The sequence below is a fragment of the Homo sapiens genome, chromosome 2, assembly GCF_000001405.40.
Source record: "Homo sapiens chromosome 2, GRCh38.p14 Primary Assembly".
Taxonomy (NCBI): domain Eukaryota; kingdom Metazoa; phylum Chordata; class Mammalia; order Primates; family Hominidae; genus Homo; species Homo sapiens.
In genome coordinates, this window is record NC_000002.12 from 85,328,010 (window position 1) to 85,341,931 (window position 13,922).

At 46.1% G+C, this 13,922-nt stretch overlaps 1 pseudogene, besides 3 other annotated features; it reads right to left on the minus strand.

Annotated features, from left to right (window-relative positions):
• Positions 33-342: an enhancer, noted in NCBI's record as "active region_16118". NCBI's record gives its function as "activates an Ori minimal core promoter by ATAC-STARR-seq in GM12878 lymphoblastoid cells {active_cell/tissue: GM12878}" and the evidence as "EXISTENCE:reporter gene assay evidence [ECO:0000049][PMID:35858748]".
• Positions 373-542: an enhancer, noted in NCBI's record as "active region_16119". NCBI's record gives its function as "activates an Ori minimal core promoter by ATAC-STARR-seq in GM12878 lymphoblastoid cells {active_cell/tissue: GM12878}" and the evidence as "EXISTENCE:reporter gene assay evidence [ECO:0000049][PMID:35858748]".
• Positions 6,543-7,042: an enhancer, noted in NCBI's record as "H3K27ac-H3K4me1 hESC enhancer chr2:85561675-85562174 (GRCh37/hg19 assembly coordinates)". NCBI's record gives its function as "activates a minimal SCP1, AML or CMV promoter by ChIP-STARR-seq in primed H9 embryonic stem cells {active_cell/tissue: H9 hESC(primed)}" and the evidence as "EXISTENCE:reporter gene assay evidence [ECO:0000049][PMID:30033119]".
• Positions 12,972-13,915, minus strand: PEBP1P2 (phosphatidylethanolamine binding protein 1 pseudogene 2; annotated as a pseudogene).

Here is a 13,922-nt window from a genome sequence, read left to right on the forward strand (position 1 = left end):
GCGCGGGGCCCCTCTCCAGTCCCGCCCCTGCTGCGCGCGTCTCTCAGTCTCCCGCTGCCGCCAAGACGAAGGGCGGGATTTAGGGGGCAGCTGCTGATGTCGGCGCTCGCCTTCGGCTGCTTCGCTTACTGTCGCCGAGTGGGAGGCGAGCCTCTTCTTCCTGGTTTCTCGTCTCCACCACAGCCACAACAGTCTGGCCCCCCGTTTTTCGTCCCCTCCGCCTCGTACTTCCGAGACCTTACAGGCAGAGCTGGAGCTCCCTCGCCTCTCGCACTGGCCGCGGAAGTGAGGTCACTAGGGGCAGGCTCCTCTTGGCCACCACCATCGTGTGCTTGCGTTTCTATCCTCTGCTTTTTTCGTGGTTCCCTCCTGGCCGTACACAAACGTGCTGTGCTCTGGTCTCTCCCATGTGGGAATAAATCCATCCGATCACCTGCAAAGCGTTGCCTTCGCATCCTGGCCCTCCTCCTTCCCGACTCCACGGAGACGGTGTCCTTCCAGGTCGCCAAACATCTTTTCCAAAAAGTGCATCCTTTTTCTGATACAGAAGCAGAAAACAAAGCCTGACTCCTACCCTTCCGGGATAATCACTATTAATGTTTTAGTGTATTGTCTGCCCTCTAAACATTTGATGTTTTTGAATAGATAATACATTATAATGTTTCAGAAATGAAAACCGGATTTTAAAGTAAACAGACTTTAGAAAAGTCTTCCTACTCCTCCACAGGTTACCGCTTACATTAGTTTATTATGTTTCCATTTAGTTTTGTTAAAAAAAAAAAAAAAGGACTCTTTCCCTTCTTAATTAGTGTATTTCTCTTTTCCTCTATGCATATTTATTTTCTCCCCATATTGGGATAATCAGGTAAGTGGTTTTGTATCTCACCGTTTACAGTTACTGTTATGTTTATACATTAAATGTTTGAAATCACTTTATCAACGATTGCCAGGCTTGGTGCTTTGGAGACAGTGATTTAAGAAATGATAGGTCTTATATGAGATTACATCAAGTTAAAAAGCTTCTGCACAGCAAAGGAAACAGTGAAGAAACAACCTACATAATGGGAGAAACTATTCGCAAACTATCCATCCGACAAGGGATTAATAACTAGAATATATAATAAACTCAAGGAAAAAATATAATTAAATGGGCACCAGCCGGGGCAACATGGTGAAACCCCATGTCTACCAAAAATACAAAAAATTAGCCAGTCATGGTGGCCTGTGCATGTAATCCCAGCTACTCAGAAGGCTGAGGATGGAAGGATTACTTGAGCCTGGGAGGTGGAGGTTGCAGTGAGTTAGCCAAAATCTTATCACTGCACTCCAGCCTAGGCAACCATCTCAAAAAAAGAAAAAGAAAAAAGAAAAACATGGGCAAAGGACCTGCTGAATAGACATATCTCAAAAGATGACATACAAATGGCCAACATAGAAATGGTATATGAAAAAATGCTCACTATCACTAATCATCAGGGAAATGCAAATCCAAACCACAATAAGAGATCATCTTAGCCCCAGTTAGAATGACTGTTATCAAAAGAAAAAAAAATACAAAATGGTGACAAAGATAAGAAGAAAAGGGAATGCTAATAGCCTGTTGGTGAGAATGTAGATTAGTACAGCCATTATGGAAAACAGTATTGGCAGGGCATGGAGGCTCACACCTGTAGTCCCAGCACCTTGGGAGGCTGAGGCAGGCAGATGGCTTGAGCCCAGGAGTTCGAGATCAGCCTGGGCAACGTAGCAAGACTCTTGTCTCTATAAAAAAATAAAGGAAAGCAGCACAGAGTTTCTCAAAAACTAAAAATAGAACTGCCATATGATCCAGTATTCCCACTGCTGGATATGTACAAAAGAAAGGAAATAAGTATATCTAAGATATCTACTCCTGTAATCCCAGCACTTTGGGAGGCTGAGGCAGGGGGATCACATGAGCCCAGAAGTTCCAGACCAGACTGGGCAACATGGCAAGATCCCATCTCTCTTTTTTTTTTTTTTTTTTTTTTTGAGACAGGGTCTTACTCTGTCACCCAGGCTTGAGTGCAGTGGCACGATCTCAGCTCACTGCAATCTCCATCTCCTGGGCTCTAGTGATCCCCCACCTCAGCCTTCCAAGTAGCTGAGACTAGTGGATCTCATGGAAGTAGAGGTGGTTACCAGAGGCTGGGAAGGGAAGATGGGAGGAAAGATGAAGAGAAGTTTGTTAATGGGTACAAAAATACAGATACATAAAAAGAGTAAGTTCTGTAGTCAGTAATACGGTAGGAAAATATAGTTAACAGAAACATTGTATATTTTAAAAGAAAAGAATTGTAATGTTCCCAATACAAAGAATAGATAAATATTTGAGTTGATGGATATCCCACTTACCCTGATTTGGTCATTACATATTGTATACCTGTATAAAAATACCACCACATGTACCCCATAAATATGTACAACTATATAAAAAAAAATTTTTTTGGATGGAGTGCAATGGTGCATTTTCGGCTCAGCACAACCTCTGCCTCCCAGGTTCAAGCGATTCTCCTGCCTCAGCCTCCCGAGTAGCTGGGACTACAGGCATGCGCCACCATACCTAGCTAATTTTGTATTTTTAGTAGAGATGGGGTTTCTCCATGTTAGGCTGGTCTTGAACTTCTGACCTCAGGGGATCCACCATCCTCGGCCTCCCAAAGTGCTGGGATTACAGGCGTGAGCCACTGCCCCCGGCCCTATATCAAATTTTTAAGGTAGGTATTAACTTCATGGAGCATGCAGTTTGCGGTACATAAATATTAAATATCTACACAAATGTGTGTATGTGCATGCACATTCCAAGAACTGCCAGAAAGAAAATTATAGAAACTATGAGATCATTTGAGGAAGGGACCTTTAAGATGAGGACCAAAGGATGTAGCTATGTCCCAGGTACATACTGGGAAGATGAAGGGAAGAGGAGGATGAGCTTTCCTGGCTGAGTGTACAGCATGTAGTAGGTTGGTACAAAAGCAATTGCGTTTTTGCTGTTTGACAAAAACAGCAATTACTTTTGCACCAACCTAATACAATGGCCTGCAGACAGGTGGGGACCTGGTATTTTGTGTAAGTCTAAAGACTATGATTGTCAGGTAATAGAGAACAAGGAGAAAGGCAGGAAAGAGGCTGGAGCAGAGCCAGGTTAAAGAACAAATGACCTGAGAATTGTCTAGAACATGAATCTACTAAGCACAAAAAGTACAACAGAAAATAAGGCAGTTAACTTTGTGGGTTTTGTTTTGAGATGGAGTCTCCCTCTGTCGCCCATGCTGGAGTGCGTGATCTCAGCTCACTGCAGCCTCCGCCTCCCGGGTTCAGATGATTCTTCTGCCTCAGACTACTGCGTAGCTGAGATTACAGACACCCGCCACCACGCCGGGCTAATTTTTGTATTTTTAGTAGAGGCGGGGTTTTACCGTGTTGACCAGGCTGGTCTCAAACTCCTGACCTCAAATGATCCACCCACCTCAGCCTCTGAAAGTGCTGAGATTACAGGCGTGAGCCACTGCGCCCTGCTGTATGCCAGTTAACTTTGATTGAAATGTAAACTAGTCCCTCTCCTGCCAGAAAGAACTATAGCTGCCAGGGGAAATAACTCCTCTGGAGTCTACTGAGGGCAATATTTGGCTTACATGATATGCAGTTCTAGTCAATCAGAGTTCTTCAGAATTTCAAAGAATAGTGCATATAGTGGCATATAATTTTCAGGAACAAGTGCTTTATTTTTATTTTTATTTGTTTATTTATTAATTTGAGACAGGGTCTCACTCTGTCGCCCAGGCCGGATATTTTTTAATTTAAAAAACAATTATGTTCTCAATATGTTTCTCTGTCATAAGAAAATGTCTCTCACACATACACTCATTACTGAAGAGAAAATAAGAATCACAGGAAGTGAGAAATCTTTTGCCAAACTATTTAGAACCTTGACTCCACTTAGGCTAAAAGAAATGAATTGGTAAATTAATTTGTTTCTAAAAGAAAACTCTGGTGAGGTGCAGTGGCTCACACCTGTAATCCCAGCACTTTGGTTGGGAGGCCGAGGCTGGCTGATTGAGCCCAGGAGTTCAAGACCACCCTGGGCAACACGGCGAAACCCCGTCTCTACAAATAATTTTAAAAATGAGCTGGGCGTGGTGTGCACCTACAGTCCCAGCAGCACTGAGATGGGAGAATTGCTTGAGCGTCATAGGTGGAGGCTGCAGTGAGCTGTGATCAGGTTACTGCACTCTAGCCTTGGCAACAAAGTGAGACTCTGTCCCAAAAAACGGAAAAAAGAGAAGACAAGAGAAAAAAAAAATTCTGGCTGGGTGCGGTGGCTCAAGCCTGTAATTCCAGCACTTTGGGAGGCCGAGGCAGGCGGATCATTTGAGGTCAGGTGTTCCAGACCGGCATGACATACATGGTGAAACCCCGTCTCTACTAAAAATACAAAAAAAAAATTTAGCTGGACATGGTGGTGCATGCCTGTAATCTCAGCTACTCGGGAGGCTGAGGCAGAAGAATCACTTGAACTTGGGAGGCAGAGGTTGCAGTGAGCTGAGACTGCACCACTGCACCCCAGCTTAGGCGACAGAGCAAGACTCTCTCAAAAAAAAAAGGAAAAGAAAATTATTTCTACCTCCCCTAAATAAGTGTTTGACTAACATTTAAAGATATTGGCTTATCAAGGGTATGTGTGTCTGGTGAGGGAACAGTAAATTATTAAGCCTGACCTGGTGTCCAAATTACTAGACAATAGAGGAAAGGAGTCCAAATGATGCAGAACTCATGGGGCATGTCCAGGGTTTTGTATTTTATCTTAACAATAATGGTACCGCTAGAGTTTTAAGTAGAGGAAAGATAGAATCAGAATTGGGATTTTTTAAAGACAATCAAATTTAGCAATGGGGTGTTATATATTAATACAAAGTGTAGTGATACTAATGTTAGTAAGTTCTGAGAACCCAATACCATCAGACCAGCTAAGGGTTGGGAATTTTTATTATTTTTTATTTTATTTTATTTTTGTTTTTAGACGGAGTCTCACTCTGTCACCCAGGCGGGAGTGCAGTGGCACAATCTCGGCTCACTGCAACCTCCGCCTCCTGGGTTCAAGCAGTTCTCCTGTTTCAGCCTCCCGAGTAGCTGGGATTACAGGTGCCCACCACCATGCCCAGCTAATTTTTGTATTTTAGTAGAGGCAGAGTTTCACCATGTTGGCCAGGCTGGTCTCGAAATCCTAACCTCAAGTGATCCACCCACCTCGGCCTCCCAAAGTGTCGGGATTACAGGCGTGAGCCACTGGGCTCAGCCAAATTTTTAAATATTACTCTGGTTGTAGCATGAAGAACTTCAGTGGGGAGGTATGTCTGGAATTGGTGGGTTCTTGGTCTCACTGACTTCAAGAATGAAGCCGCGGACCCTCGGGGTGAGTGTTACAGTTCTTAAAGGCGTGTCCAGAGTTTGTTCCTTCTGATGTTCGGATGTGTTGGGAGTTTCTTCCTTCTGGTGGGTTCATGGTCTCGCCGGCTCAGGAGCGAAGCTGCGGACTTTCGCGGTGAGTGTTACAGCTAGCTCTTAAGGCGGCGCATCTGGAGTTGTTCGTTGCTCCCGGTGGGTTCGTGTTCTCGCTGGCTTCAGGAGTGAAGCTGCAGACCTTCGCGGTAAGTGTTACAGCTCATAAAGGCAGTGTGGACCCAAAGAGTGAGCAGCAGCAAGATTTACTGCAAAGAGAGAAAGAACAAACCTTCCACCGCACAGAAGGGGACCTGAGTGGGTTGCCACTGCTGGCTGGGGCAGCCTGCTTTTATTCTCTTATCTGGCCCCGCCCGCATCCTGCTGATTGGTCCATTTTACAGAGAGCTGAGTGGTCTGTTTTGACAGGGTGCTGATTGGTGCGCTTACAATCCCTGAGCTAGACACAAAGGTTCTCCACCTGCCCACTAGATTAGTTAGATACAGAGTGTGGACCAAAGGTTCTGCAAGTCCCCACCAGAGTAGCTGTACACAGAGTGTCGATTGGTGCATTCACAAACCTTGAGCTAGACACAGGGTGCTGATTGGCGTGTTTACAAACCTTGAGCTAGATACAGAGTGCCTATTGGTGTATTTACAATCCCTTAGCTAGACATAAAAGTTCTCCAAGTCTCCACCAGAGTAGCTAGATACAGAGTGTGGATTGGTGCATTCACAAACCCTGAGCTACACACAGGGTGCTGATTGGTGTGTTTACAAACCTTGAGCTAGATACAGAGTGCCGATTGGTGTATTTACAATCCCTTAGCTAGACATAAAGGTTCTCCAAGTCCCCACCAGACTCAGGAGCCCAGCTGGCTTCACCCAGTGGATCCCGCACTAGGGCCGCAGGTGGAGCTGCCTGCCAGTCCCATGCCGTGCGCCCGCACTCCTCAGTCCTTGGGTGGTCGATGGGACTGGGCGCCGTGGAGCAGGGGGCGGTGCTCGTCGGGGAGGCTGGGGCCACACAGGAGCCCACGGAGGTGGGGGAGGCCCAGGCATGGCGGGCTGCAGGTCCCGAGCCCTGCCCTGCGGGAAGGCAGCTAAGGCCCAGCGAGAAATTGAGCACAGCAGCTGCTGGCGCAGGTGCTAAGCCCCTCACTGCCCGGCCGCTAGGAGTGCAGGGCCCGCCGAGCCCACGTCCACCCGGAACTCGCGCTGGCCCGCAAGCACCGCGCGCAGCCCCGGTTCCCCCCCGCGCCTCTCCCTCCACACCTCCCCGCAAGCTGAGGGAGCCAGCTCCAGCCTTGGCCAGCCCAGAAAGGGGCTCCCACAGTGCAGCGGCGGGCTGAAGGGCTCCTCAAGTGCCGCCAAAGTGGGAGCCCAGGCAGAGGAGGCACGGAGAGCGAGCGAGGGCTGTGAGGACTGCCAGCACGCTGTCACCTCTCAGAGGGAGGAGTGAATTTAAGAGTTAAGAGACTGATGCAATAGTCCAAGTAGGACTAGTATAGGGAAAGTGAGAATGGAGGGAAGTAATTGGACTCAAGATAAATGTGAAGGTAATACTAACAGGCCTTGAAGACGGACAGGGTGTGGGGGAAAAGGAGTGATGGTGAAGAAGGTGTGGCGGTGTCCTTTCCCTGAGGGAAGGAGCACTAATGGAGAAGCAAGTCTGATGGGGGTGGGGCATAGAAAATGAATTTGCTTATGGTTAATTGCTTCTGTGTACTGTGGACCATGAGACAGCCAGGTGAAAATAATCTAGTTGGAAATGTAATCATGGAGTTCAAAGGTAAGTATAGGAACAATTTTTCTAACTAAATATTGTTCAAAACAGGATTGTTAATGGTTTCATAAAAAGTAATCTATTAGTTGATCATAATTGTGACAGTTCTCTTGCTATTGGACATCCGTATTATTTTTAGTTTTCTATTGTTAGTTAACTATTGTTAAGTACTGGTTAGGTGCCTTTTAAGGTAAGACAAATGCTTAGAAAGATTAAGTAGCCCTGGTAGAGTGGCTCATGCCTGTAATCCCAGCACTTTGGCAGGCCAAGACGAGAGGATCCCTTGAAGCCTGGAGTTTGAGACCAGCCTGGTCAACAAATTGAGACCCTGTCTCAATTTTAAAAATTTAAAAATTAGTCTGGCTTGAGACCAGGAGTTGGAGATTACAGTGAGCTATGATCTCTGCATTCCAGCCTGGGTGACTGAGTGAGAACCAATCTCTAAAGAAAAGAAAGAAAGAAAGATAAAGCAATTCTATTATTTTGCCAAAGCTTTGATAGCAGTGAGTATTATTAATCTGCCAAACAGATAGAAATATAGTCCTTAAGTGTTATTCTTTAATACTTATTGCACAAGTAATTCACATGACCGTGGACGAGTTACTTAATTACTTTAAATATTTGTTTCTTTATTATTATTATGTTGAGACAGGGTCTCACTCTGACACCCAGGCTGGAGTGCAGTGGTGTGATCTTGGCACACTGCAACCTCTACGTCCTGGATTTGAGCAATTCTCATGCCTCAGCCTCCCAAGTAGCTGGGACTACAGGTGTGTGCCGCCACACCCAGCTAATTTTTGTATTTTTAGTAGAGACAGGGTTTCACCATGTTGGCCAGGCTGGTCTCAAACTCCTGACCTCAAGTGATCCGCCCACCTTGGCCTCCCAAAGTGCTGAGATTACAGGTGTATGCCACCACGCCTAGCCTGTTTCTTCACTATGAAATGGAAATTAAAATGTTAAGAATTAGATTATTCATGTAAAATATAGTGTTTAACACCATATGTAGCATATAATGCTCTAAAATTATTACTGTAATATGTTAATTATAGAAAAATTATAAAACAAAGATGAACCAAAGTAAGAAAGATATTTCTTTTTTTTTCTTTTTTTTTTTTTTTTTTTTGAGACCGACCATAGCTCACTGCAGCCTTGACCTCCCAGGCTCAGGTAATCCTCCCACCTCAGCCTCCCAAGTAGCTGGGACTACAGGTGCATGCCACCACACCTAGCTAATTTTTAAACTTTTTGTAGAGACAGACTATTGCCCAGGCTGGTCTTGAACTATGTTGCCCAGGCTGGTCTTGAACTCCTGGGCTCAAGCAATCCTCCCACCTCAGCCTCCCAAAGTGCTGCAATTACACATATGAGCCACCACACCTGGCCAGAAAAATATTCTTAATCCAGAGCTATTATCATGAATATTTTGTTGGTCCTCCTTTCCTATAGTAATATGTGCATATGATTGTTAACCAAAAATAAAGCAAGTTATAAACCCATATGTTGGCTGGGCACAGTGGCTCACACCTGTAATCCCAGCACTTTGGGAGGCCGAGGCAGTGGATCACTTGAGGTCAGGAGTTCGAGACCAGCCTGGCCAACATGGTGAAACCCCGTCTCTGCTAAAAATACAAAAATTAGCCGGGCATGGTGGCAGGTGCCTGTAATCCCAGCTACTCTGGAGGCTGAGACACAAGAATCGCTTGAACCCAGGAGGCAGAGGCTGCAGTGAGCCAAGATCCTGCCACTGCCCTCCAGCCTGGGCAACAGGGCGAGATTCTGTCTAAAAAAAAACAAAACAGGCCAGGCACAGTGGCTCACACCTGTAATCCCAGCACTTTGGGAGGCCAAGGCGGGAGGATCGCGAGGTCAGGAGTTCAAGACCAGCCTGGCCAAAATAGTGAAACCCCGTCTCTACTAAAAATACAGAAATTAGCCGGGCATGGTGGTGTGCGCCTGTATTCCCAGCTACTTGGGAGGCTGAGGCAGGAGAATCACTTGAACCCAGGAGGTGGAGGTTGTAGTGAGCCGTGATCTCGCCGCTGCCCTCCAGCTTAGGCAACAGAGTGAGACTTCGTCTCAAAAAAAAAGCCAAAAGAAAACCTTATGTAAAATGTTTGCCTTGCAGGCCTTTAGTGCTATACCTAGTCAGGTCACTTATCTTCTGGGACACTATCTCCTTGTTTTCCATTGTTTATTTTCTCCACATCCTTTGAGATCAACATACAGAAATCAACTATATTTCTATAACTTTGCAATGGACAATCTGAAAATGAAATAAGAAATAATTGCATTTGTGAATAGTATAAAAAAATCCATAGAAATAAATTTAACCAAAGAATTGCAAAATTTGTGTTGTGAAAACTACAAAACGTTGAAAGAAATTAAAGAAGACCTAAAGAAATGGAAAGATAGCCTATATTCATGGATTGGAAGACAGAGTTTTGTTAACATGGCTATGCTCCCCAAATTGGTCTACACCCAGTCTCTATTAAACACAGTGTCTATTAAGATTCCAGCTGGCTTGGTGCAGAATCGACAAGCAGATTCCACAATACATATGGAAATGCAAGAGGCATACAAAAGCAAAAACAGACGTGGAAAAGAACAAAGCTGAAGAATTCACACTTCCCAGTTTCAAAACTCACCAAAAAGCTGGAGTAATTAGGGCAGTGTGCTACTGGCAAAAAGACATAAAGAGAAACATCTTTGTTAACTACCTCAAGAGGTCAGCTTCACAATTTAGCGCTGGACTGCTAGCTTCTCAGATAATCAGCCTTAAGGAGTTTCCCCTCTTCATTATAACTTTTCTTTCAATTTGGGGGAAAAAAAACTACATGTAAATAATGCAAAATAATACAGAACAGTGTGAAGCAGAGTCAGGATTCCCATCTCTCCATCAAGTGTATTTCTTTCTAGTGTATGTTTGATTTCTAACTGACTTTAAAAATCATTTTGTGGGGCCAGGCATGATGGCTCACACTTGTAATCCCAGCATTTAGGGAGGTCTGCAGGTAGGAGGATTGCTTGAGCCCAGGAGTTTGAGATCAGCCTGGGAAACATAGCAAGACCCCATCTCTACACACACACGAGGTTTTGCCATGTTGGCCAGGCTGGCCTCGAACTCCTGACCTCAGATGATTGGCCGCCTCGGCCTCCCAAAATGCTGAGATTACAGGCATGAGCCACCACTCCTGCTTCACAAACTCCATTTTGCCTTTGGCAGAGGACGTGTTTTCTTTCTTCATGCCCTCTGGATATGATAGAGGTCCCCAAGCTTTTCCTGGCTACCACTTGCTCTGACCTTATACATGTTGGGTTTTGCTCTTAAAGAGGACAGCAGGAAGAAAGGTTGGTTTCAGAAACCAAGAGGGTTGGCAGTGGATGTGTAGATTTTGTCACGGAGTCCGCAGAGCTCAGCTTTTGAACCTCTGAGAAGTTTCATTTCTTGTGCAGAAAGAGTACACTTGAATTCAAGTTTGCCTTTAGAATTGCACTGAATAAAATACTGCACACTAAAGGAAAGCTTATTTTCTGCATGGTTGTCTTTTCAAAGACAATATTCGAAGCATGTTTCCTAGAGATTGTGTGGATGAGGGTGAGCTGGCTGAGGCATCACTCAAGCTAGGGGTGGTGTGTAAGAAGCACGAGGAGCCACAAGAGGCACCTCCTATAGTCAGCTAAGGGCTTCCCTTTCTGCGCCCAGCTTTTGGTTGAAGGGTGAATTTTTTTTTTTTTTTTTTTTTTTTTTTGAGACGGAGTTTCGCTCTTGCCCAGGCTGGAGCACAACGGCACGATCTCAGCTCACCACAACCTCCCTGGTTCAAGCAATTCTCCAGCCTCAGCCTCCCGAGTAGCTGGGACTACAGGCATGCACCACCACGCCTGGCTAATTTTGCATTTTTAGTAGAGACGGGGTTTCTCCATGTTGGTCAGGCTGGTCTTGAACTCCCGACTTCAGGTGGTCTGCCTGCCCCGGCTCCCAAAGTGCTGGGATTACAGGCGTGAGCCACCACGCCCGGTGAAGTGTGATTTCTATTAGACGAATCTGTGGTTCAGTCATGGATGTTAATAGAGGAACCTGTTTTCCTGCTACAGATTCCTGAGTAAAATTGCTGTAAGAGTCCACTTCTGGACTCAGGGCAAGTCGAAGACCAGTCTATGTAGAAAGGCTGAGGCAACTGGGAAAGACCTGACAGCTAGTTACATATATTCTGACATAGTCCCCCCATAATGGCTTTTAGTGACACATGTGCTGATAGAATTCTAAACCTCTAGAATTCCCCTGCTGGTGATGCTGGTGTCTTCTTTTGTGCTTGACTGTACAGGGTAAACTGATGCAGAATGCTGCAAGTGTGATGAGAGCTAGAACGCTGTGAAAACTCTTGCTAGGAAGGTTGGGCTCGGTGTGACTTGCTCCAGTAGGAATCCTGGGTAGAGATTTTTAGCTGCAATTAAACGGTACATCCAGAGCCAAGGGTGACTCTCAACTCAGGTAGTTCTACAGGTCAGGTGTGAATTTACCAAATCTCCCAATTTGTTTATTTGTTTTGTTTTGTTTTGTTTTTTTAGAGGAGGGTCTCGTTCTGTCACTCTGGCTGGAGTGCAGTGATCACAGCTCACTGCAGCCTCAAACTCCTGGGTTCAAACAATCATCCCACCTCAGCCTCCCAAAATACTGGGATTACAGACATGAGCCATTGTATTTAGCCAAATCTCCCAATTTAGAAACTCCTCTGTAAAGGGTTTGGGTCTGAGCTATATGTTTGGTCTTTTTTGTTTGTTTTGTTTTGAGACGGGGTCCCACTCTCTTGCTCAGGCTGGAGTGCAGTGTCACAATCTTGGCTCACTGCAACCTCCACCTCCCGGGCTCAAGTGATCCTCCCACCTCAGCCTCCTGAATAGCTGGGACTACAGGGGCACACCACCATGCCCAGCTAATTTTTCTGGGGGTGGGGTGGGGACTTTCTATAGAGACAGGGTCTTGCCATGTTGCTCAGACTGGTCTTGAACTCCTGAGCTCAAGCAATCTACCTGCCTTGGCCTCCCAGAGTGCTGGGATTACAGGCATGAGCCAAAGCACCCAGCCCTGAGCTGTATGGTACTTCAAACTGCCAACACGCCAGCCCCGGACACTCTGATTGGTATTCTTTTAATTCATCAGACTCCATGTGCAATAAATGACTGAGTGTTGAAACTGTTCTTTTTTGTTTGCCCAGTCGGTAGATGGCCACTTTTTGTAACTTTTTTTTTCATTCAGGTTTCTATTTTTATTCAACTATAAGCAAACAGCACAATTAATGCAATGTTCAGCAACTCCAGACCAGCTTTTCTTACTCCCGTGAAGAATGATCAGTTTAACAAACACCGATCTAAGGTTTCCTCCCAAGCTGTCAGCGAGCGCTGCTGCCGGTCTAGATGGCCATGTCCCAACAACAGCAGCGCCACTCTCCCTCCTGCTTCTTCCAGGATTGCTCTTTAAAGGGACCAGAGCGACATACTGATGCCTATTGAGGCATCTGAGATGCACCGTGTTGGGGGTTAGCCTCAATGCCAGCCTCTGGTTGTCTAGGTGAGTGACATCACCATAAAAACACATTGTGTACCATTCTGGACTCAGGATCACAAAGGCAGAGGCAACCAATCTTTTTTTTTTTAAAACCTTCCTTAAAGATTCTTTGATGCTTTGCTCTATCACTGTAGACCTGGTTTTTTCCCCCTAGTTTTTTCTTTTTTACATTCTGGGTTGCTATTTTCAGATTAACAATTTGATGACCCCATCACAGTACCAAAATATCCCCCAAAATGAAGTTCAAATTTGATCAAAACATAAATCAGAGTGAGTGAGTAAAATTATAAAGGCCAGGCAGCAGGAAAAGTCACCCTCAACCACCATCTGACTGGTCAGGTCTCACCTGTGCCAAGGGGGGCAGGAAGAGGAGAAACCTATTATACATGCAACACTGAACTGGGGAACATGGCTTGGGGCCTCCAGAACAGTTCAGGTCCCCAAGCTAACCCACTAGTTCCCAGAGAGTTGCTCGTACAGTTTGGGCACATAGTCGTCCCACTCAGCCTGGTAACACGTGCCAGCCACCGGGGCCCCGAGCTCGTACTTTTTACGGAAGGACACCACCTCAAATTTGCCACGGTGGTCTCCAGATCGGTTGCTGAGGATGGGCTCGTCACACTTTAGTGGCCTGTCCTGCTCATAAACCAGCCAGACATAGCGGTGGAGACCTGTGCCCTTGGGAGGCCCCGAGCCCACATAATCGGAGAGGAGTGTGTCACTGCTGATGTCATTGCCCTTCATGTTGACCACCAGGAAATGATGCCATTCTCTGTATTTGGGATCCTTCCTGCTGGGAGCATCAGGGTCTGTCAGGACCAAGGTGTAGAGCTTCCCTGAATCAAGACCATCCCACTAAATGCTGGTGGGTCTATTCTTAACCTGGGTGGGCGTCAGCACTTTGCCCAGCTCGTCCACCACCGCCCGGGCGTAGGTGACATGCAGCAGGTGCTGTGACCGCTCGTCCATTTCTCGCAGGCTCAAGGGCCCGGACCACTTGCTGAGGTCCACCGGCATGGCAAGGCCAAGCAGAGCATGCAGCCGGGAGTGCCGCGGTAGGCCAGGTGCGGGCGGCAACAGCGACATGGAGAGCTCAGCACACTGGCCTGG